General features: G+C 37.3%; 1 long non-coding RNA gene across 2 annotated transcripts; it reads right to left on the bottom strand.

The window, feature by feature from the left end:
* Nucleotides 1–2239: 2239 nt before the first annotated feature.
* On the bottom strand, nucleotides 2240–25824 carry LOC105369408 (uncharacterized). 2 transcript variants are annotated; one of them, XR_950354.3, is made up of 5 exons: nucleotides 25648–25824; nucleotides 23836–24045; nucleotides 21480–21693; nucleotides 3321–3472; nucleotides 2240–2325 (listed from the first exon to the last, which is right to left on the bottom strand). It is a non-coding gene; the product is annotated as an uncharacterized LOC105369408 (long non-coding RNA). The 2 variants fall into 2 exon arrangements; XR_007062799.1 differs by lacking the exons at nucleotides 2240–2325; nucleotides 3321–3472; nucleotides 25648–25824 and adding an exon at nucleotides 20260–20340 and having other exon boundaries at nucleotides 23836–24005.
* Nucleotides 25825–26034: the final 210 nt, after the last annotated feature.

The raw sequence follows: 26034 nt of genomic DNA, 5'->3' as shown, positions 1-26034 counted from the left end.
TTCTACTGCAAGTCCACCAGGGGTTCTGTTTTGCCCTCCAGAAGTCCTCCTTTCACCCGAAGGCCGCAGAGGCTGCCAACAACAAGTGGAGATACACATTTCCTTGTTTAATTTAGTGTGTAAAGAAAGAGAGAGGAAACCTCTCCCTTAACCAAGGATTTTAGTCCTGTCCTTCAATCATATTGGGCCGGTCTAGCTGAACTATACATGTGTTGGCTGATAGTAGTTGCTAGGGGAGTATCATGCTCTTAAAAAGAGGATTTTGAGATAATGGAAGTTGAATTACTATGTTTACTCTAAACTTTCAGTGCTGCACAATAGAACTTTCTGCAAAAAGGAAATGCCGCATTCTGCACTGGCCAATGTAGTAGCCACTGGCCAGATATGGCTATTATACACTTTAAGGCTGCAGGAGCAACTGAGGAAATAAAAGTTTTATTTTACTTAATTGTAATGAATTTAACTTAAATAGTACTGTGGCTATTTATATTAACTACCATAGTGCTATTTAAATTAATTTAATTAAAATTAAATAAAATATTAGAGTAATAAAGTGACCAAGATTCAGGTTGGAGATGGACATAGGGTCCGACTCCATTGAGTCACATGGGCTGCAGTGAGGGAGAGAAGAGAACTCTGAGTAAAATTTAGGTCCTTTTTTGGAAGGAAGAGTTGAATATGTAGGTCTTCTGTATCCTTGCTGCTCAAAATTTGGTTCATAGACCACAAACATGGTTATCATGTGGCAACTCACTAGAAAAGCAGAACCTTAGGCCCTGTATCAGATAAGCTGAATCATAATTTGCAACTTAGCAGAATTTTCAGCTGTTTACCCCATGGTTTGGCTTAAAGACTTGCAATTTGAGAGACCTGGATTTCCAGTCTGGGTGTGCCACTAACCAACTCTAAGTGAATTATGCAACTTACTTCAGCTCTCTAAGTTTTCATTTTCCCACCTGATATGGCTTGGCTGTTTCCCCATCCAAATCTCATCTTGAATTGTAGCTCCCATAATCCCCACGTGTCATGGGAGGGACCCAGTGAGAGGTAATTGAATCATGGAGGTGGGTTTTTCCCATGCTGTTCTTGTGGCAATGAATAAGTCTCATGAGATCTGATGGCTTTATAAAGGGCAGTTTCCCTACACACACTCTCTTGCCTGCCACCATGTACGATGTGACTTTGCTCCTCCTTCACCTTCCACTATGATTGTGAGGCCTCCCCAGCCATGTGGAACTGTGAGTCCATTAAACCTCTTTTTCTTTATACATTACCCAGTCTCATTATCTTTATTATCCATGTGAAAACAGACTAATACACCATCTCTAAGAACATTACAATAAGCCTTGCCTAACAGAGTTATTACAATTTTCATATGAAATACTGTGCATAAAATTCTTAGCATAGTACAGAGCATCTAATATCTGCTCATTAAACTGTAGTTTTTCTAGCCTCCTCTCTAGGACAGAATATGTCTTATCCATGGAGAAATCCACACCCTGGCCACAGCTTTGCACATAACAGAAGTTCAATAATGTGGGTTGAAATAACAGACACAATAAATGACTGAGTGAATTCATGATTAGGTTGCCCAGTGCCTCATAAATTATAGATGGATCAATACATACAATGCATTATTTTAATGAATAAATGCAATTATTTTACATGTATAACCAGAGCAATATTTGATTTTTCTAATTTTATTTGAATAATTTCTTACCTGATTACCTTACCTAGAACTTCTTTCTTAAGGGAAAAAAGTTAAAAGGTACATACTTTTTGTATGGTCTTTCCTATTGTCAGGTTTAGTTTATAAGGTGTTGCAAATATCCTCTATGGGCATGTTCTTTAGCAGCATTTGTAAAAGAAAGAGAAACACTCATGTGTCCACACTGTACATTAGGATCTTAACTTAGTAACACTACTGGTGACAGCCCTCACAGGCAGCCTTAATGTCTTGTGAGGGAGCCCGCCTCCTTTCCCTCATAAGACAGGAGTCTTGAGCAGTTGCTTAAATTTTCAGACATTTTGTATCATTTTCCCAAGTAGACTGTCATCTTTCCAGCTTTCTGCAGCCAGACTTGAAACTCTTCCAGCACTTCCTTTGTTCTCATCTTGTGAGACACAGTAGCCCACTTTGCAGTTATGTTCCTTGTACATTATTGTTAAGCCCAGTAAGATGATAACTGCTGAGAATGTCTGTAGCCTAGTGTTGAGAAGTAGCAGATCCTAGCTCAAATGCTTGGAGTTGCTAACAGGCTTCACCAGTGATCTGGAATACGATCTTGGGTAACCAACAGTGTCTCTGACCCTCCATTTACTTATCTATAAAATAAACCAAAAACACACACATAAATAAACAAAAAGCCTATTTAACAATGTGTAAAATTTAAAGCTTTATGAAAGTGTAAGAAAGATATTACTTATTTCTATTCTTTATTATTATCTTTCATTTATTGATTCAAACATGCCTATTGTCCATCTGCTATGGGGATTATGCTATATAATGTGCCATAGTTAGAGAAATGACCAAATACAGAGTCCATGAACTCAATGACATAAAAGAGAAGACTATGAGCACCAAGAAGAGGCCAACTAGGGCAACTTGAAGTAGTCAGTAATAGGGCAACCTGAAGTAGTCAGTAAATACTTACTAAAAAAAGGGGGTATCTTTCTGGGCACAGTAGCTCTTGCCTAAAATCCCAGCACTTTGGCAGGCTGAGGCTGATCGATCGCTTGAGCTCAGGAATTTGAGACCAGCCTGGGCAATGTGGTGAAACGCTATCTCTCCCAAAAATACAAAAATTAGCTGGGCATGGTAGTGCACACCAGTAATCCCAACTTCTTAGGAGGCTGATGTGGGAGGGTAGCTTGAGCCCAATAGGTGGAAGTTGCAGTGAATCGAGATTGTGCCACTGCACTCCAGCCTGGGCAACAGAGCCAGACCTTGTCTCCGAAAAAAAAAAAAAAGGGCAGGGAGGGCGGTATCTGAGGTCACTCTCAAGAAATGGGCAGAAATTAAGCAGACAAATAAGGGTAGAATAATTCAAGACTAGAGGAAGAATGGTGGATTCAATACAAATAGTTTTTAAATGTTGCCTTGTTTAAAGAAATGCATAAAGCTTTTTACCTATTTTAAATAAAAAGCAGAAAGTATGACATTTTAATTCCAGGAGGCGTTTTTGTCCGTAGCGTGATCTACTTAATTCAGACAACTGATAGAAATTAAATTCAGAAAAGTGCCCTAGTATCCCCAAGGCCACATGGATTGTTAGTAGCAAAACTAGTTTACTAATGCTTAATCCAGCTGTTTTCCTTACATAATGCTACCTCCTCAATCCAGAGGCCAGATGATAACTTAATATTCTTAGTAGCGTAGACTCTTCTGTCAGCACCAAACACAAATGTACAACCAGTGCTCCTCAGCTGGATACAGGTCACTTTTCAGCAGTATCTGTGTCATGGATGTTTGCTAAGAAGAAGAATTTTTAAAATTAGATCTGGGAGTATTTGGCATATTTCCACCTGGCACCGACACTCACTTAGATTACCAGAAATCTTAGGCTTAAGGAAAGCTTAATTAAAACCAAGTCAATGGAGCACTTTCTGAGGAACTAACAGGATTACACAAATAAACTGGGCATTTTCTCTTCTCTTTTTGCTGTTCTGTTACTCTCAACCGAAACTTTGATTGATCTACACCATATATATTTATTTAATCACCAAGTTTTCTTTATTGATTGTGTATAGGCAAACTAAGATTTTTTTTGAAAAGCTTACTATTTTGTATAACTATTATGTATGCTATGATTATTAGAGGAAGATAGGGTAGATTAACTGCTGGATTTGAAATTCAAAACCTGTGTCTGATTCTTTGTGATAGAGATAACATATTGTTTGTGGTAATGAGGTGAAAGTACCCATTATGATTTTGGGCCCATGGCAGTGGATCTATATCTGCTAATTTTCTATATTCATTGCTAATATTTCTCTCTTAGCCTCACCTTCATCATCAATAAAATGGAGATAATGTCTATTTCTTTCTTTTTTTTTTTTTTTTTTTTTTGAGATGGAGTCTCATTCTGTCACCCAGGCTAGAGTGCAGTGGTGTTATCTCAGCTCACTGCAAACTTCGCCTTCTGGGTTCAAGCGATTCTCCTGCCTCAGCCTCCTCAGTGGCTGGGATTATAGGCGCCTGCCACCATGCCCGGCTAATTTTTATATTTTTAGTAGAGATGGGGTTTCACCATGTTGATCAGGCTGGTCTCAAACTCCTGACCTCATGATCTGCCCGCCTCGACCTCCCAAAGTGCTGGGATTACAGGCATCAGCCACCGCCCCCGGCCATAATGTCTTTTTCTTCTACTTACCAAGAGATTATATAAAACTCATGATCTAGTGTGTTTGGAAATATGGTCTCAAAACTCAGAAGCCAATGGCATTATTGGCCACTTGAATTGGGACAGGAGTGTGGCAGAGTATCATGAACTACTTTGGATTGTGTGCCCAGAAAGACCTTTCCAAGGAGGTCATGTTTGAGCAGAATTCTGAATAGGAGAAGAAGCCAGCCATGTAAAGGATTGAGCATAGATATTCTAAGCAAGGGAAACAGCCAGTACAAAGGCCCCAAGCCACTTATGAGCAAGGCATAAATGAAAAATTAAATCCACTCGATTGGCATAATCAGAGCAAAGTGTGCAAGGAAGAAAGAATTTGGAGATTATATCACCAAGGTGTGTAGGCCATTCATGAAAAATGATGGTAGGGAGTTAGAAATGTTCTCTAGGGCAATGGAAAACCATTGGGGTGGGGGTGTTGAACCCAACTCTGTACCTGACTATGTAAATTTGACTAAGTTACTTCAGCTCTCCAAGTTTGCTTCTTATTCTACAAAGTGGACATGATACCCACCTTGAAAAATTATTCTGATAATTACATTTACTATTCTATGTAATATATTTAGTACCTGATGGCTGACAGATATGCTACTTGTTACTGATTGTGTTGTTGTTGCTGTTGTTGTTGACACTGTCATTGTCATTATTATCATCCCATCTAAGTTAAGACAGGAATGACTACGGGGAAGAAGAAGGAACAGCAGAAGAGACAGGCAGATATGGCACAAAAGCAGATCCAGTACCACAAAATATTATTCTATTTCCAGATGCCAAATAAGCCTTATCATTCTTTGTCCACACATTTCTTTTTACTTCTAATAATGGGACACCATGGCCTCTGACCTTATAAGGTACTGACCCATGAATCCAAGAGTCAGGCAGGGAGCCTTCATGTCAGAGTATGTGGCAACCACCCAGATCACAATCCAGGAGGTCAGACAGCCCTTCTGGAAGCTGCCAAGGCTGATAACTTAGTCTTGGATGTGGATAACAGGTATTTTAACTAATCTGTCTTGAAAATAACAGTAATAGAACAAAACATACTCTTACTATGTTTTGTGCAGAAAATGCCCAGCAAGGCTTGGCTAAGTAGGAACCGAAGAGAAGTAAGCTGGGAGTGTTCCAGGTAGGATGATTTCTCAAATGTACTTTTTAGAGGCCATATTTGCCTTCATCTTACTCTGAGGACAAATGCTTAAGCATCTGAAAATGTGGACATAGCAATCTTGACACTGACCTTGTGGTTAATAATCTTACCATCCTCCTGTCTTTCCTTTTCTCTACTTTCCTTTTTCTCTTCCTTCATTTCTGACTAACCTTCCCTTCCTTTCTCGCTCCTTTCTTTTCCATTACTTTCTATATTTTTATTTTTAGTTGACAAATAATAATTGTACATATTTATGGAAGACAGAGTAAAATTTTGATACATAGATAGTGTTAAATAATCAAATAAGGGTAATTAGTATATCCTTCGCCTCAAACATTTATCATTTCTTTGCTTTGTGACTATTCAAAATATTCTCCTCTGGCTTGTGAACGTATACACAAAATTATTGTTAATGATATTCACCTTACAGTGCTACAGAACATTGGAACTTAGTCTTTCCTTCTAGCTACAACTTTGCACCCATTAAACAACTTCTCCTCCCTTCTCCTCACCCTTCCCAGCCTCTAGAAATCACAATTCTACTATCTCTGTGAGCTCAATTTCTTTTGATCCTACATATGAATGAGAACATGTGGTATCTTTATCTTTCTGTGGCTGATTCATTTCACTTAACTTAATGTCCTTCAAGCTCATTGATGCTGCCTCCAATTACAGGATTCCATTGCTTTTTTACAGCTGAATAGTATTCCATCATGAATATATACCACATTTTCTTTATCTGTTTATCTGTCGATGGACATTTAGGTTGATCCCGTATCTTGACTATTGTGAATAGTGCTGCAACAAACATGGGAGTACAGCTATTTCTTCAATACTCTTTCCTTTTCTTTGGATAAATACCCAATAGTGAGATTGCTCAATTATATGGTACTCCTATTTTCAGTTTTTTGAGAAAATACCATATTATTTTCCACAAAGCTGTACTAACTTACATTCCAACCAACAGTTTGTAAGAGTTTAATTTTTTCCACCTCCTTGCCAGCATTTGTTATTTTTTGTGTTTTTGATGATAGCCATTTTAATTTGGATGAGATGATATCTCATGGTGGTTATTTGCCATTTCCTTGATAATTAATGATGTTGAGCAGTTTTGCATGTACTTATTGGCCCTTTGCATCTCCTTTTTTGAGAAATGTTTATTCAGATCCTTTGCTTATTTCTAAATTAGATTATTTGATTTTTGAAGTTGAGTTGTTTTAGCTCCTTTTATAATGTGGATATTAGTCCCTTGTTGGATAGTTTGCAAATATTTTTCTCCCATTTTACAGATTGTGTCTTCACTGAGTTTCCTTTGCTATGCAGAATCTGTTTCATTTACTGTAATCTCATTTGTCTATTTCTCTTTTTATTGCCTGTGGTTTTGAAGTCTTACTATAGAATATTTGCCTAGATCAAAGTCCTGAAGTGTTTCCCCCATATTTTCTTCTAGTAATGTTGTAGTTTTGGGTTGTAGGTTTAAGTCTCTAATCTACTTTGAGTTGATTTATTTTTTATATGGTGAAAGATAGGAGCCTCGTTTCAGTCTTCTGCATGGATGTTCAGTTTTCCCAGCACCATTTATTGAAGATGTCTTTTCCCCAGTATATGTTCTTGCAACCTTAGTTAAAAATCAGTTGACCATAAATACGTAAATATATTTCTGTGTTCTCTGTACCACTGGTCTATGTGTCTGCTTTTATGCCAGTACCATCCTGTTTTACTTACTAGATGTTTGAAGTGTTTATTTTATTTTTTTTTTTCCGAGTCTCACTCTGTTGCCAAAGCTGGAGTGCAGGGGTGCAATCTTGGCTCACTAAAACCTCTGCCTCCTGGGTACAAGCGATTCTCCTGCCTCAGCCTCCCGAGTAGCTGGGATTACAGGCACATGCCACCATGCTTGGCTAATTCCTTTTTGTGTTTTTAGTAGAGATGGGGTTTCACCATGATGGCCAGGCTGGTCTCAAACTCTTGAACTCAGGTGATCCACCTGCCTCAGCCTCCCAAAGTGCTGGGATTACAGGTGTGAGCCATAGTGCCTGGCTGTTTGTAGTATTTTTGAAGTCAGGTAGTGTGATGCCTCTAGCTTTTTTCTCTGTAATCAGGATTGTTTTAACTATTTGAGATCTTTTGTGGTTCCATGAAAATTTTAGAATTGTTCTTTTTCTATTTATGTGAAGAATGCCATTGGTATTTTTATGAAATTTGTGTTAAATCTGTAGATCATCTTACATAGTATGATCATTTTAACAATATGAATTCTTCCGATACATGAGCATGAGATATCTTTTCACTTTTTGTGTTCCTTCAATTTCTTTCACCAGTGTTTTATAATTTCATTGTAGATATATTTACCTCCTTGGTTAAATTTATTCTTAGATATTTTAAACATTTTTTATCTATTGTAAAATGGGATTGCTTTCTTGATTTCTTTTTCAGCTAAGTCATTATTGGTGTATGGAAATGTTACTGATTTTTGTATGTCAATTTTGTATCCTGCAAATTCACTTAATTTGTTTATCAGCTTAAGGGTTTGTAGAGAAGCCACTAGGGTTTTCTCTATATAAAAGCATGTCATTTGCAGAAAGGGAAAATTTGACTTCCTGTTTTCGAATTTCAATGTCCTATATATCTTTATCTTGTCTAATTTCTCTGGCGAGGACTTCCAGTATTCTGTTGAATAAGAGTGGTAAAAGTAGACATCCTTGTCTTGTTCTAGTTCTTAGAGGAAAGGTTTTCAGCATTTTCCCATTCAGTATGATATTAGCTGTGTGTTTTCCTATATGGCTTTTATTGTATTGAGGTATGTTTCTTATATACAAAATTTGTTGAAAGGTTTTTTGTAAATGAATGGATGATTAATTTTATCCAGTCTACTTTCTTTTGCATTTATTGAAATGAACTTGTAGTTTTTCACCTTCATTGTGTTGATGTGATGTATCACATTTATTTATTTGTGTATGTTGATTATTCTTACATTCTTGGGATAAATCCCACTTGATCATGATTTATTATCTTTTTGATGTGCTGTTGGATTCAGTTTGCTAATGTTTTTCTAGGATTTTTGCATCCTTGTTCTTCAGTGATATTGGCCTGTATTTTTTTTTTTTTTTGTCATGTCCCTGTCCGGTTTTGCTATCAGAGTAAGGCTGGACTTGTAGAATGGGTTAAGAATTTCCATCTCTTCAATTTTTTGAAATAGTTTGAGAAGAATTCATGTTCTTTTTTGGAAGTTCCATAGAATTCAGCAGTAAAGTCAACTGATCCTGAGCTTTTCTTTATTGGGAGACTTTTTATTGCTGATTCAAACTTGTTATTTGTTTTTAATCTGTTCAGGTTTTCTATTTCTTCGAAGTTCAATATTAGAAGGTTACTCATGTCTAGGAATTTATCAATTTCTTCTAAGTTTTCTAATTTGTTGACATATAGTTGTTCATAATAGTTTCTAATTATCCCTTGTATTTCTGTGCTATCAGTTGTAATGTCTCATCTTTCATTTCCAATATTTTTGATTGAGTTTTCTGTCATTTTTCTTAGCCTAGATAACCATTTGTCGATTTTGCTTATTCTTTCAAGAGAATAAATTTTTATTTCATTGATCATTTTTAATTTTGTGTCTATTTTGTTTAATTATGTTCTGATTTTATTATTTATTTTCTACAGTTAATTTAGTTTGGTTTGTTCTTGCTTTGCTAGTTCCATGTGGTAGCCATTGTTAGGTTCTTTATTTAAAATCTTTCTACTTTTATGATGTAAGCATTTATTGCTGTAAACGTTCCTTTTGATATCGATTTTGCTGTATCCCATAGGGTTTGGTATGTTATGTTTCCATTTTTATTTGTCTCAAGAAATTTTTAACTTTTTATTTTAAATTTTATATTGGTCTGTTGGTTATTCAGGAGCATATTGTTCAGTTTCTATGTGTTTGTAGTTTCCAAAATTACTCTTGTTATTAATTTCTAGGTTTACTTTATTGTAGTCAGAATGGATACTTGATATGATTTAGATTCTTAAAAATTTGTTAAGACTTGTTTTGTACTCTAATCTGTGGTCTATTCTGGAGAATGTTTTATACGCAGTTAAGAAGAATGTGTATTCTGCAGCTTTGAACGGAATGCTCTGTAAATGTCTGTTAGGTCCTTCTGGTCTAGAGTGCAGTTTAACTCCAATGTTCCTTTGCTGATTTTGTCTACATGATCTATCCAATGCTGAAATATAGGTGTTGAAGTCATGACTATTATTATATTGGAATCCTTCACTCTCTTTATTTCTAATAATATTTGCTTTGTATACATAGATATTCTGGTGTTGAGTGCATATATAATTGTTATATTCCCTTGGTGAACTGATACCTCTATCATTATATAATGATGTTCTTTTTCTCTTTTAATTATTCTTTGGCTGAAAATCTATTTTTCCTGACATAAGTATTGCCATTCCTATATACTTTTCATGTGTACAAAATGTCTTTTTCCAACCTTTCACTTTGGGTCTATGTGTGTCATTACAGGTGAACTGAGTTTCTTTTGAGTAGCATATATTTGGATCTAGGTTTGTTTAATCCATTCAACCAGTCTGTATCTTTTAATTTGGGAATTTAAACCATTTACATTCTGATTGTTACAGACAGATGAAGACTTGCTGCTGTCATTTGTTAATTGGTTTCTGACTGTTTTGTATATCCTTGGTTCCCTTCCTCCTCTTTTTAATCTTTGAGATTTGTTAATTTTCTGTAGTGATAATATTAGATTTTTTTTCCTTTCTCTTTTGTATACCCACTCTACCAGTGAATTTTATACTTTTGTGTTTTTGCATGATGATAGATACTGTCCTTTGGATTCCAGATGTAGAACTTTCTTATAGATTTCATGTTGGACCAGTCCAGTGGTGATGAATTTCCTCCATTTTTGCTTGCCTGGAAAATACTATTTCTCCTTCATTTCTGAGGGATAGTTTACCTGGGTCTAGTATTCTTCACTGACATTTTTTTTTCTCTCCCTCTCTTTCTGTCAGTACTTTAAATATATCATCCCATTCTCTCCTGGCCTGGAAGGTTTCTGCTGAGAAATCTGCTGTAAGTCTAATAGTGGTTACCTTATATGTGACTTGACAGATTTTTTTGCTGTTTGTAGAATTCTCTCTTTAGCTTTTGACAGTTTGACTATAATATACCTCAGAGAGGGTTTTTTTGGGGGGTGGAATCTGTTTGGAAATGTTAAGTTTCATGTATCTGGAGGACTATATTTCTTTCAAGACTTGGGGAGTTTTCAGCTATTATTTTATTAAATATGTTTTCTAGGTCCTTTTCCATTTCTTTTCCTTCTGGAATGCCATAATTTAAATAATTGTTCGTTTGATGGCATCCATATGTCACATAGGCTTTCTTCATTCTTTTTCTTTCTTCTTTTTTTTTTTTTTTGTATGACTGGCTTATTACAAAAGATCTATCTTCAAATGCACAGATTCTTTCTTCTACTTTATCTAGTCTACTGTTAAAGCTCTGGATTATATTTTTATCATTTATTAAATTTTCCACTTCCTAGATTCATGTTCTGTTCTTTTTTTTTTTTTTTTTTTTTTTCTTACAGATTCTCACTCTATTGCTCAGGCTGGAGTGCAGTGTAGTCTTGGCTCACTGCAACCTCCGCCTCCCAGGTTGAAGTGATTCTCATGCCTCAGCCGCCCAAGTAGCTGGGATTACAGGCATGCGCCACCCCGCCGGGCTAATTTTTGTATTTTTAGTAGAGGGGGGCCATGTTGGCCAGGCTGGTCTTGAATTCCTGACCTTAAGTAATCCACCTGCCTCAGCCTCCCAAAGTGCTGGAAGTACAGGCATGAGCCACTGTGCCCAGCCATGTTCTGTTCTTTTTTTTTTTTTTTTTTTTTTTTCCGACAGAGTCTCGTTCTGTCACCCAGGCTGGAGTGCAGTGGCACGATCTCGGCTCACTGCAAGCTTCACCTCCTGGGTTCACGCTATTCTCCCGCCTCAGCCTCCCGAGCAGCTGGGACTACAGGCGCCCGCCACCATGCCCGGCTAATTTTTTGTATTTTTAGTAGAGACAGGGTTTCACCGTGTTAGCCAGGATGGTCTCGATCTCCTGAGCTTGTGATCCGCCCGCCTCAGCCTCCCAAAGTGCTGGGATTACAGGCATGAGTCACCGTGCTTGGCCTCTTTATTTATAGTAACTATCTCTTTGTTAGGTTCTCATTAGATCATGAATTGTTTTCTTGATTTTTTTGTATTGTCTGTGTTCTCTTGTATCTTACTGAGTTCCCTAAGATCATTATTTTGAATTCCTTTTCAAGCATGTTATAATTTTTTTTCCTTTGGAGTCTTGTTTTTTTGTTTTTTTTTTTTTTGAGACAGAGTCTCGCTCTGTCGCCCAGGCTGGAGTGCAGTGGCACGATCTCGGCTCACTGCAAGCTTCATTTGGAGTCTTTTATTGGAGAATCATTGTATTCCTTTGCCGGTGCTATGTTTTCATGCTTTTTCATGTTTCTTGTGTTCTTACATGGACATATGCACATCTTGTGCAACAGTTGCTTCTTCCAATTTTATGGGGTAGCTTTTATAAGGAAAGACTTTTTTCTGTAGATGAATCTATAGTGTCAGTTGATCAGAGAACTTTGGCTTTGTTTCTGGGTGGGTATCAGAGTCTTCATATGATTTCTTAAGCTGTAATTAATCTCAATGGTATGTATGAGTTCCTCAGTGACTCTGGCTGCCATTACTTGTGAAGGCTGTATTGATGCTTTTCTGGGAAGTAGGTTGCCAGGAAGGCCAGGTCTTAGGCCCCTGAGTGCCATGTATGGGCACCAGCTGCAGCAGACCCTTGTGAGAATGTTCTTTGAATCCCATGGAAGTGTGTGAGATTACTGGTGGTGACAGCCTTGGCAGGCTGGTCCTCAGGCCTCCAGATGACATACACAGGCATTAGCAATGGCAGCAGCAGTCTCGGGCTGGCTGGTCTCCTTGCATCCCTGGGCAGTGTGTACTAGCACCTGGAGTGGCATTAGCAGCCTAAATGGGCCAAGTTTTGGTTCCCTAGGCAGAACAATCAGGTGTGTGGCAATCCCAATGCTGGAGGGGACTGAGTCACTGTTAATGGCAGAGGCCTTGGGTGAGTGGCTCTCAGGCTTCATGGAGCAAATATTTTGGCTCCCTGTATTCCAAAAGTAGCCTCCCTGATGTGCTGACTACCTGTTGCTCAAGTTATAAGGTGCTTCCTGGGCTCAGGTACTAGGGACATAGCTGATACACCGAGTGAAGCTGATGTCTCAATGCTGCAGGCCTGTGAGTAGATATGAGGGATGTTGGTAGCAGCCCAGGGATTTGAAAATTCAAGGGTTATTGAGACCCAGGAAAAGAGGTAGTATGATATTGGCTCAGCTCTCAAAATAGCACTTTCTTACAGCAGCTTGTGATCCGGGAGTGGGTGAGACCCAGCATGAATTTCCTTTCTGGGACAATGTAGTCATGCGGACTCTAGGCAGATCCCTGTACTAAGCTCAGGAACTATAAGGGCCAAGGGGCTCTCTCGTAGTCGGTATTGCAGACATCTGTAGTTTGAATGTGGAGCATTGAGGATCTCTCTTTTACCTTTTCCTGCAATGGGGAGCCCCTGCTAGCTCTGAGCTGATCCTGGCCAGTTGTTTTTATTTCCTTTTTATGCTCTATATTTTCTTACTTTTATTTTCCTCTTTATTTCTCTTTCAACATGGCTTTGAATACTTATTAGGTGCTTACTAAGAAGCAGAGAGTTTTCTGGGCATAAGATATACTAACACTAATATCCCTGGATAACTAGATGCACGTAAGGAAGAAAGCATCCTATCGTATATGACTTTGTAGAAGCACAAAGGAAAATGGGTTGATCTTATTTGGGGCATTAGAAAATCTTTACTCTTCGGTTAATTTTGGCAAGTAAATAAACTGACAGAGACAGGTAAATAAGTAAAATATGTTTAAAGCCAAGAAAAGAGCAGAGCAAAGGCATAGAAGTGTGAAATACCACAAAGCATAGAAATAAGACTGCAAATAGGCAAATCAAGGAGCTTTTCAAATCATGCTAAGGAGGCTGGACTTTCTTAAGGAAGAAATGGAGAACCACTAAAGAATTTTAAGTGAGGATATGATGTATTAATTCCTGCTCACATTGCTATAAAGAAATACTTGAGACTGGGCAATTTATAAAGAAAAGAGGTTTAATTGGCTCATGATTCTGCAGGGTGTACAGGAAGCATGGCAACATCTGCTTCTGGGAAAGCTACAGGGAACTTTTACTCATGGTAGAAGGCAAACGGAGCAAGTATATTACATAGCAGGAGTGGGACCAAGACAGCAAGGGTGAAGGTGCTATATACTTTTAAACAACCAGATCTCATAAGAACTCACTCACTATACAGTACCAAGAGGGATGGTACTAAACCATTCATGAGAACTCTGTGATCCAATTACTTCCCACCAGGCCCCACCTCCAACCGTGGGGATTACATTTTGACATGAGATTTGGGTAAAGACATAGATTCAAACCATATCATATGACCTGATCAAATCTATGTTTTAGAAATAATACAGGGAATATGAAATAGAACAGGCCATTTAGGATTCTATTGCATTGTGGAAGTGAGCAGTGATAAATGTCTGTGTCTAGCCAGTCACAGAGTAGATGGAGAAAACAGGACAAAAAAGAAGAATATTTTAAGGTGGCAGAAATTTAAAATCTTTGTATTTGCTTAGATAAGAGAATGGCTTAAAGAAAGTGATATAGCATGATGACAAACTTTCTGACCCTAGAGTATGTTTCGATGTTAGCGACATTCACTGTAATGGGAGATGAGGAATGAGGAGCCTCTATACAGAGATAAGCAGCCATTTTGGGTTTGGAGTACTTGTGGGACATCAGTAAATACATAACTACATAAACCTGAGATTTTGGCAGTCTCCATTTTTAGATTTATAATAGAGGATTTAGTTCTTGTGAGTTATTGATTTTGAAAATGTGTGTGAATCTTCTAGCGGTGTCTAGCACATCAACTCTTCTAAAATATTAATTATCTCTTTCTTCTCCTTCGTGTGTGTGTGTGTGTGTGTATGTGTTCTGTTGTTTTTAAATATATATTTATCTTTAGAGACTATCTGTATCCCTAAGAATTTTGACAAAAGAGAGATTGCCTCCTGGGAGTAAATCCCTAAGATCAACCATACACACATAAAAGGTCAGAGAAAAGATAAACAATAGTACTATCTTAGCTCCTTGACTGGCCTAAAGGTGATAGTATCTAAAGAGTACCCCCTTATGTATTTTATCAGTAAGCAGGCTTTCCACAAATACCTTCTGCCATTTAAAAAAAAAAAAAAAAAAAGGCAAAGGACTGAGGCCACAAGGGAGAAGAAACGGAAGCTAGACAGAAAGACGAGTTGAGAGAACTTTCAGTTCTAGGTGTGAGGCCAGAAGAAGAAAGATGTAAAAGGGATTCAGTTAAGTTAAGAATACTGCCTGAGTCCCTCAAACGGCCCTGCCCAGAGGAGACACTGGGGTGAGGAGATAGCAGAGGAGCCCCAGAGAGGCTGGAAAAATAGAAAAAGATGCAGGCTGCTGTTCATAGTCCTTGCTTCATTGGAATGACCTAGGAGGTGAAGATCAGTAAGGAGAGATGTATTGAAAGATGAATCTGTAAAAAATGCAGACAACCCAGTGTTCACACTTGATCTGGGGCAGGGAGCACCAAAATGAAACACCCGCATATACATTTTTTGTTTTAAATTTTAAATTAGAAAGAAAAATATGTGCACAGCAACCAGGCCAACCACACTTGCTAGAAACTAGTAAGGGCACAGGGCCCCAGCTAGACTCCTTTTCTTACTGACATGAGATTACACGAACTTCCTTCTTTATCAAGAAGGGCTGGGAGTGGTGGCTCACTCCTGTAATCACTTTGGGAGGCTGAGGCAAGTGGATCACGAGGTCAGGAGTTGGAAACCAGCTTGACCAACATAGTGAAACCCTGTCTCTACTAAACATACAAAAAAAATTAGCCAGGCATGGTGGCAGGCACCTGTATTCCCAACTACTTGGGAGACTGAGGCAGGAGAATCACTTGAACCTGGGAGGTGGAGGTTGCAGTGAGCCGAGATCATGCCACTGCACTCCAGCCTGAGTGACAGTGCAAGGCTCAAAAAAAGAAAAAGCCATATTTGGGAGAAGGAGGAGAAAAGGAGATGCTTTAGAGGAGAGAAACAATACCGTTAGACTATTTCAGTCTTGAATTTGATCATGCAGTCTGTGATGGTCTGAATATTTGCATCCTCCCAAAATATGTATGTTGAATGTAATCTCCAATGCAATAATATTCAGAAGTGGGGCCTTCAGGAGGTGATCAGGTCATGAGGGCCACCAAATGGATTTGTGCCATTAGAGAAGAGGCTCGAGGATGCCTGTTTCTTTATTTCATCATGTGAGGATACAGTAAGAAGCCACCATATATGAGGATTAGGCCTTGACCACACACTGTATCTGTTGCGCCTTGATTTTAGGCTTCCCAGCTAAAACTCTAGAACTGAGAGCGATACATTTCTGTCATTTATTGATTACCTAATCCAAGATATTTTGATGTAATAGCTCAAACAAAGTAAGACACAGTCTCTCCAAAGAGAAAGATATGAGAAATAACCCAAAATAATTTGAAGAGAAAAGTGGTTAATTGTTAATCTCCCCTTTTGACCCCCTCTACCTCTGGAAAGAAAGGCTTGTGAGAATATTTTGATCATTTGTAGAAAAAATAGTAGCTATATTCTTTTATATACCTTGGCAATAATGGGCAAATTTTAATCCCCACTAGACAATTATATAATAATAAATGAACTATAAAAACAGAAGTTTGCTAGTCCCAGGAATGTAGCAAAAAAACGTTTTAGAAGCAAACAGAGCAGGGGTAGCCAGCAGGGACTGAGGAGGAGGAATATCAGTGTCCAGGCAGCAGCATTGCCCATCTCAACGGTGAAATGATTCCTGGAGGAAGAGGCACAGAAGTATGGCCACTGCACTTCAAGTATTTCTGACCTTGCTGGCCAGACCATTCTTACTGTGAGAATGCTGAATCTGGCTATGTTCCCTAGTGCTAGTCAGCATCCGAGTCAGTTAGCTCCCTTATTCAAATTCTATGCCCACAAAGCCACCCTCTTGATTATCTCTCGGCTCATCAGATTTGCCTTCAAGAAATGGTGTTCGGGTTACAAACATTTTAGATCCTATCAAAGTAATCATTTGTGGTAAACTTGGACATGGTCTCTGGTTTTGATTTTGTTTTCCATGTAGCTTCAGTCCAGGGAGATAATTTGTGGATTTCCCAAGCACAAACTTCCTAATCTCAAGTAAGTTCCATTTCTCAAGCTTCTCTTCATCTCCGCTGCTATCACACTCGTCCACACCACTTGTCTGCCATCACCTAGGTGGCTGCAGCAGCCTGCTGACGGGTGACCCTGCTTAGTAGGATTTGGACCTGGGACTTCTTGTTTATCTTTTTCTTTTTCTTTCTTTTCTTTTTTTTTTTTTTTTTTGTAAGTGCATTTTGTTTTACCACTGCAGCTGTGTAGGAAAAAAAAAGCTGATTTTATTCATTTATTTACCCCTTTATTCAGTGAACAGAATGTCCCTTTTTTGGTTGAAAAGATATTCTAAGAAAAAAAAAACACAGTGATATTATCTCTCTACATGCTAGAAACTATTCTTCATCTTTCCCCTTTCAAACTGCCCCCCTCCCTGATCTCTCAGCCTATGTCATCTTTTAATATCTCACTGGAAAATATCTTTTTCTTCATATTCAATATTTCTTTCTGCCGTTGTGAGCTCTAACTAGAGGCCACAGTCTGTGTAAATGATTCTATATCAAATAAAGCTGGTTACATTGTATTCTCTGGAGCAAAAGCTGAACTTTGGTGTCTTTTCATCAAATCATATTTATTAAGATCTTGTGTTCCCATCGGTATGCTATTCTTAACAAATACTTCAAATATAAAGATTTCACAACCTCATATTGTGAGAGGCTTAAAGGAAATACAAGAAAAAGAAATGAAAACAACTGTTGTGTTATAGTGATGACCAAGTAGATCATTTTATTTATTTTAAAATGCCCTCCATGTAGCTAATATATTATTTGATTAATAAATTGGGGAAAATTAAATTATGTATTTCTGCATCTCCTTCCAAGTTCTGACACCTTAAAAAGAATAAAACTAGCCAAGTTTTTAAATGTTTAATCATTCTAAGTTTTCTCTAAGCTTAACTTATCAAGTAATCCTTATTTACTAATGGTTACTTAAGAAGGTCACTGGGAAGAATAATCTCTTAAAAAAGAAAAATATAGATGCAAAAAATTGGTCGATATTCTTTCATTAGGTTTTTGTCAAATAATTTCTAAAATCTAACATTGTATTAATTAAGCTCCATGTAAGTCTTGATTTTCATAAAAATAGTTATCTCTATCTTACGTCTTGGCAAGGAATTGCAAACAGTTATCTATGTCCTTGGAAGCTGCTGTTTGCCTGTCTCTTTGCCCTCTGGTGTATAGGAAACAATACAACTTTGGGGATCATGGAGCTTTGACTTCTAATCCTCAATACACCACTGACTTAACTGAGTTGCCTTGGGTATGTTACTTAATTGTCCAAAACCTAACTTTCCTCATTTGGAAGATGACAAATTCTTTACCTTGTCAGGTTTCTTTTAAGATTAAAGATTTGGAAGCACTGAATTCATAGAAGATAATCAATAAATGGTAGAGTTCTTTTTAATATTGCATGCATTAAATTTTACATAAAAATGTAAATGCCTTCGTACTTCCTAGAAGACCTTGTTTGCAGTAAAACACAGTTATAAAGTACAGCTAATATAAGAGAAGTGGAAGATAATATCTATGAAAGAGAAGGAAAATATTTTAATAAGGAGATCTAAGTGTTAACCTAGCTCTTAGTTTCTGAGTGCGCCAGGCAAATAAGCAATTCTTAGGAACTAACAGGAGAATGTAAGAATAAAGAGAGAAAAAATGATTCCTTGCTAAAATATTATAGAACAAATTTAGCACATGGTATCATAAACAGAAAATAAGCACACAAAACTTGGGAATAAATGCCTGAATCACAGCTTTAAAATGAATTAAGAAGCATTCTTAGAACACTTGATTTTTCCCATTTAATAAACAGAAGAACTTCATGCCCAAGATGAAGCTCTAGTTAGCATCCACACTAGGATTTGAACCTGGGACTTTTTGTTTATTTTGTTGTAAGTGCATTTTGTTTTGTTTTACCTCTGCAGCTGCATAAAGAAAAAAATAATAATTTATGAACTTTGTTCTGAGGGAACTAGGTTCTAGAGAGTAAAGCTTGGTGTAGGTTTACCATTTCTCAGGACCCAATGTTTTGAAATATGCTGTCTTGTACCACCAATAGAATGTTTTATAAAGATCTAAACACTAACTTTCAATTTGAGACTGGCCACATTTTTTGAAAAAATTAGATATGGCATGTGATCCTTTTCAGGTTGCTTAGTGCATTTTCTGAAATGTGTGATTTAGAAAATTCACCATGTACAAAGTTTAGCTCTGCAAAAATAGTTCAGTGTACCAGGATGTGGCCATGAATATGAGTCATTTAGATAAGTATAGGTTTTATTCATTCATGTAACACATATTTATTGGGTGCCTATTAGATTTAATTTACTGTTATAAACTCGGAGGGCGACGCAGTGATGAGGATAGCGTAGTTGATATAGTTGGGCTGTGTCCTAACCCAAATCTCATCTTGAATTGTAACTCCCGTAATTCCCATGTGTTGTGGGAGAAACCCGGTGGGAGATAATTGAATTGTGGAGACAGTCTCCTTCATACTGTTCTCGTGGTAGTGCATAAGTCTCACGAGATCTGATGGTTTTATCAGGGTAAACTCCTTTTGCTTGGCTCTCATTGTCTCTTGGCTTCTGCCATGTAAGACATGCCTTTTACTTTCCACCATGATTGTGAGGTCTTCCCAGCCATGTGGAACTGTGAGTTCATTAAACCTCTTTTTCTTTATAAATTACCCAGTCTTGGGTATGTGTTTATTAGCAGCGTGAAAACAGACTAATACAATAGTGAACACTTTTCATGACCTCACAGCTTAGCTAGAAAGGAGGAAGGATAAACAAATGTGTACAAAATATTGTGATCAGTGTCAAATATAGTTTAAACCATAAGATATGTGTATTGGTAGCTTAACAAAATACCTAGATATAAATGATCCATAGTTAGTTCAGCAGCCCAAAACAGCCATCAAGGACTGGTGCAGGTTGGGTTCCCCAAGAATCAGACTCTAAAATTGTTTTTAGCCTGCGAAAGGTTTACTGCAGAGTACTTTGGGGATCAACATTGTGGAAGGAAAGAAAAAGAGGCAGCATTTGCACAGGGAGAAGTCCAATTGTTATAAAGGCCCAGGGAAAACAGCTGACCTTCAATGAGGAGTTCTGGAGACTAGATGACCTTTCAGAGCTCTCTTCCATTAGGAGGAAAAGGCTGCCATCTTAGAGATCCTGAGCCCATTAGTTATGGGATTTAGGACCTTAGGAAGGGACGCTCTGTGCTGCTGATACAATCCCTGAAGGGATCGACAGTTGAGGGCAGCAGCACTTCGAAGGGTGGGAGTAATTATCTTTCCTTCCTGCAGTGAGATCTGGACAGCATATCACAGGATCCCACACAGACACTTGAAATCTTCACATTTATTTCTCCCACCATCCTCAGCATGTTGGCTTTTGTCTTCAAAGATCTCTATTAACAGATGACATGAGAGCTACTCAGCTCTGAATATGACATTCTCCAAGAGCATACAAAACCAAAGCAAGCAAGAAAGACTGAAGGGGACCATCATCTCACATGCTTCTCTTATCAGAGGAATATCTTTCCCAGTAGGTCACCAGAACCCTTGTGCCTGTATGTCCCGGTCAGAACTACTGCCAGAACAAAATCAAGGTTTGCTATCAAGGAAGACAGGAGCATGGCCATTGATTGGGTATACTGGGTTGGAACTGGCCCTGGCACAATGGCCCACATGCAGTGGGGACTCGAAGGAGGGTCCCATATGAAGGGCAGAAAAGGGTGTTCATATGGGATCCATTTAAGACTTCTGTGTTCAGGTTTCTTCACAGGGTCATGATTCTGAGGCAAATTTGTAAAGGTTAACATTCTTTTTTTTTTTTTTTTTAATTTTTTTTTTTAATTATACTTTAAGTTTTAGGGTACATGTGCACATTGTGCAGGTTAGTTACATATGTATACATATGCCACGCTGGTGCGCTGCACCCACTAACGTGTCATCTAGCATTAGGTATATCTCCCAATGCTATCCCTCCCCCCTCCCCCGACCCCACCACAGTCCCTAACATTCTTAAGCCTCGGTTTCTTTATCTAAAGATTGGAATAATAAAGAAGTCAGAATAGATGGAAGATAAAGAGTGGAAAGCATGGCATGCTGTAAACTTAAAAAAAAATAGTAGTTGTTGTTAGTTGTGATAAGTAGTGTTAGTAATACTCCCTACTGAAATGCATTAGTGGAAATCCCAAAAATGAGGATTTAATACAAATGTTTCCCTAAAACATATCGTTAATTCAAAGACGTGATAAAAATATTTCTTGATATGTTTTATATAATGATCTTTGCCAAGAAAATTTTCTCTGGTCATTGTCCTAGTTAAATGTTTTCAAAGAACCTCCATGCCTCCTTGATAAATGTCAAACTCCTCACTTTAGCATACAACGTGAATTCACGTCCACCTTTTGTCTTTCTAATTCATGTCTCCTACACGCTCTCATATAAACACCAGCCCCCAAATCCTGTAACTTCTCAAATGCATCATGGATTTTCTCACATGTTGTTTTTCTGCTTCAAATGCCACTCCACGTCTACTTACCTTAACACTGCCGAAGAATCTCTTTCTTTCATAAGCTTCCTTTGACCTTCCCTCGTGCCTTGAGCTTGCCCTGCTCATATCACTATTAGCACATTCCACACATAGTCATTTTCATTTTTGTATCTTCATCATGAAACTCAGATCTCCTTGACGGCGGGAGCTATGTCTGATTCCTCTCTACCCACTAGGAGCATGTACCGTATTCTCAATAAATCTGTGTGGATTGAAAGAAGAGACTGTATGACACATCTCAAAAGATTTATGTATATCCACTGTTACTTAGAACAAAGAATCATGGCATCAGGCTGCCTAAGGCTGATCCTGGTTTTACCGTTTTCAAGTCATATGACTTTTGGCAAAGAGTTAAACTTCCTGTGTAATGAAAACTAAATAAAAACTAAAAAAAAAATTATAAAGGACATCTAAAAGAGTGTTAGGCAAAGAACAAACATTTAATAAATTTAGTCATTATTATCCTTTGAGGAAGAAATCCCATGGATAGGAATATTCTGTGTTAACTACTGAACATCAAATATTACTCTGACTTATTATTTGACTTCAAGAATGTGTACACAATTCCTTGTGTCAGACTTGTAATAGGATATCAATAACTATTGATTAATAATAATAGCTAATATCTATGTAGCACTTACTATGTGCTAAGCAATGTTTTAAATGATTTCACATACATTAACTGATTAATTACTATCAATACCTTGAAATAGCTGCTATTATTTTTCTCATTTTTCTAAATAAACAGACTGAAGTGCTGGGCTCAGTTCACAGCTGTAATCCCAGCACTTTGGGAGGCCGAGGCAGGTGGATCATGAGGTCAGGAGTTCGAGACCAGTCTGGCCAACATGGTGAAACCCCGCCTCTACCAAAAGTACAAAAATTAGCTGGGCATGGTGATGCATGCCTGTAGTCCCAGTTGCTGGGGAGGCTGAGGCAGAAGAATCGCTTGAACCTGGGAGATGGAGCTTGCAGTGAGCTGAGATCATGCTACTGCTGTACTCCAGCCTGGGCAACAGAGCAAGACTCCATCTCAAAAAAAATAAAGAAAGAAAGAAAAGAAAAAGAAACTGAAGCACATAGAGTTTAAATGACTTACCTTGTTGGCAAGTAGCAGAGCTCTGATATAAACTTAAGCAGACAAGCTAGAGAATCTGTTTCCTTTGCCATTATCCTTATAGTATTATAGAATCATGAATGACTAAGTGAATGAATAAACCTCATCAGTTAAACACATTCAGAAAATGGATCTATAATCTGTTCTCTAATCCAGTGATATTTTAAATTATCAATATCCCTCTATATTTTTCTCTCTTTTTGAGCAACCTTTTGGTTGCTTCTACTTTCACTTTCCCCACAAATACACCATGAAGTGGAAATGAATTATGTGGAATGTGATGGTAGGACTGAAAAGGGTAATGTGTTTTTACCTCTCTGAGTTTAACAATTAAGAATATACAGATTGACTTATTAGATCAGACTGCTTTTGTGGCCTAGAACTCATGCTATTGCCAAGAAAAACCACCACTTCTGAGGTCCTGTATGACTCTGGGCCAGAATGATGTAGTGAAATGTTTAACTTTGTCAGCCAACAACAGCAAAGTCAAAGAGCAAATGTGAAACATGGTAGGGATCAAAAGGCAAAGAATAAGTTGATAAAGTCATGAAAAGAAGGATAAACTGTAACCATTTCTAGAAAAATGAGTCAGGCATTTGAATCATAAAGATCCATAGTAGACTGCGAAATAAACAGAAGCAGGTAAGAATTAGTGGTACCGTTGAGCCTATTGTGATTTTTCTGTGATGTCTGCTTAAGACATTGGGGAAGTTTCCAAGAATGCTAGTTTTGCCTAATAACCTCTTATACATTTGTCTTCAATGAATTCATTGAAATTATATTTTAAAATATTAACAAATTTAGACAGAAACAGAATGTCAAAAGGAAAGAGACCTTAGAAATCACCTATCTATCCCTTTCATTTTGAAATAAGTCAACCCGGACTGGAAAAGTTATGTAACTTGATCCACAGTCACTCAAGTAAAGTAATAAACTTTATGGCTGCTACAGAAAGCAAAATTTCCTTCTTTTCATCCTAAATTTATGATTTTTAATTTTCAAAGATGTCCCCCCACCCTACTTTGGGAATACTATGCTTGAGTAGTAAGTCAGACTTCCCATATAAATACCAGCCTTGTATGTAAAAATCCTTAACTTATAAAAAATAATTTTTCACCATCATGAACAGAAACTGTTTCATGAAGGAGCCATCCATTCATGAATGAATGATTGAATGAACATAATTTCAGTTACATAAATGAAGAATAGAATCATCAATATACCTACCTTCTGATTTCTGTATGGCTGCAAAATGTTTATTCCAAGCACAGGCAGCACAGCAAATTGGGGCAAAATTTGATTCTTTAGAATTCCAATTTCAGCCAGACACAGTGGCTCATGCCTGTAATCCCACACTTTGGGAGGCCAAGGCAGGAGGATCACTTAAGGCCAGAAGTTCAAGACCAGCCTGGACAACATACTAAGACTTCATTTTGACTAAAAAAAAAAAAAAAAAAAAAAAAAGTTAAATACATTAGCTAGGCATGGTGGCACAAACTAGAAGTTCCAGCAACTTGGGAGGCTGAGGCAGGGGGATCACTTGAGTGCAGGAGTTCAAGCTTGCAGTGAGCTATGATTGCACCACTGCACTGTAGCCTGGGTGACAGAGCAAGAATCTGCCCCGCCTCCCCCCCAAAAAAGTTCATTCTCTTCCTTATAGATAAAGAGATCAAACAAGTTGATGCCATGAACTTCCAATGTGATGCAATGAGGAGAAAATATCACCTATGTAATGTTCAGAAATGAAAATTAAAAAAACAATGAGAAAGCAAGCAAGTCAAATTGTGGGATATTATGCAAAATAAATCACGTGGACTCTTCAAAACTATCAATGTCTTAAGAGTTAAAAAAAAAGGGCTTGGTTGACTTTTCTGAATTAAAGAGATATGATGACTAACTGCAATGTACTTCTTGATTAGATCTAGGACTAGGAAAAAAGCTTTAATATTATTGAGACAACTGGGTAAATTTGAATATTGAAAGTACATTAGATAACAAAATGTCATTGATGATTAATTTCCTAAATGTGATCATTTTATTGTGGTTATGTAGTCCCTTATTGTTCTAAGAAAATATGTGCAGAAGTATTTAGAGGTAGAGTGTGTCCATACTTGTAACTAACTATAAAATGGCTCAGCCAAAAAAGAAATGTTTGTATATACATCTATATGCATGTATGTACACAGAGGGAGAGAGAGAAAACAAATGCAGTGAAATGTTAGATTGATCTAGATGAAAAGAATATGTACTATTTTTGTAACATTTGCTTACATTTGAAATTATTTAAAATAAATAGGGGAAAAAAGAGAATAAGTCTTAATACTCTAAACTGGTGTGGAAAACCTATGAAATCTGGTGCATAATAGGAAGTTTAGTAACATGTGGAATGAATGAATGAATAAACATTTCAGCCATATTCCTCATACCCACCTTCATATTTCTTCTTCACAATCTTTTAGGAGTCATAAATTCCATCATTAAAAACATATTTCTTTGGATTAATATCTTATATTTCCTGAGATCCCTAGTTAAGGTGTATATATTATTGGAAGAATCAATAATATTTTAATACTTTCAACCTCCAGTTAAATTGAATCATTTTCTTTTCCTTAGAAAAATTATTTAATATCTCTGAACTTCAAATTTCTAACCTTTAAGATGGAACAATAACTTACTTACTGTTGTGAGTTAATCAAATAATTGTTTTGGGGATTAAATATGATAGTGTATTAACATGCTCACACTTAATTAACACTTAGTAAATGGTAGATATTACCATTATTATATATGTACAAATTCTATTTGCCTTCAAGCTGAATTCAAAGGCTATTATTACCTGGTCATGCTTTCCATATTAATTCCAGTATAATCAAAATATAATAATTATGGCTAAGAAGTAGTAGGAACTCTTGTATTCAGCAGTGTCGTAAATGCTTCACATTCATAACATGATTTAATCACTGCAGCAGTCCTGCAAGTTATAACTATTATGATTTTCTTGATAAGGAAACTAAGATTTAAAGAAGATAATAAACTTACTCAAGTTGATAGTTGGTGGACGAGTCAAGATTTAATCCCAGTCCATCTGACTCCACAACCAGCGGCCCTTAACTAGTCCAGCATCCTGGCTCCAGATCTATACTCTTTCTAGCAAGAAAAGACTCTCTTCCAAACCTCTCTTAATGTACATGTTCATTATGTCATTAACAGTCACTCTGTTCAAGTCATATTCCCATAATAGATTGTGATATAGAGAACAGATGATCTAGGAGAAAATAGATAGATTATGTCAGAGGAAGGACCACGCTTGAGAAAAAGAAGTTCCAAATGCAAGTTTCAACTCCAGCCCTTTCAATTATGTAATTTTGAGAGTCAACTGTATTTTCCAAGCTCTAGTTTCTTATCTATTAAGTACAGCAAAAATAA

This window comes from Homo sapiens, chromosome 11 (assembly GCF_000001405.40).
Source record: "Homo sapiens chromosome 11, GRCh38.p14 Primary Assembly".
Lineage (NCBI taxonomy): Eukaryota > Metazoa > Chordata > Mammalia > Primates > Hominidae > Homo > Homo sapiens.
This window is presented reverse-complemented; position numbering and strand designations above follow the sequence as displayed.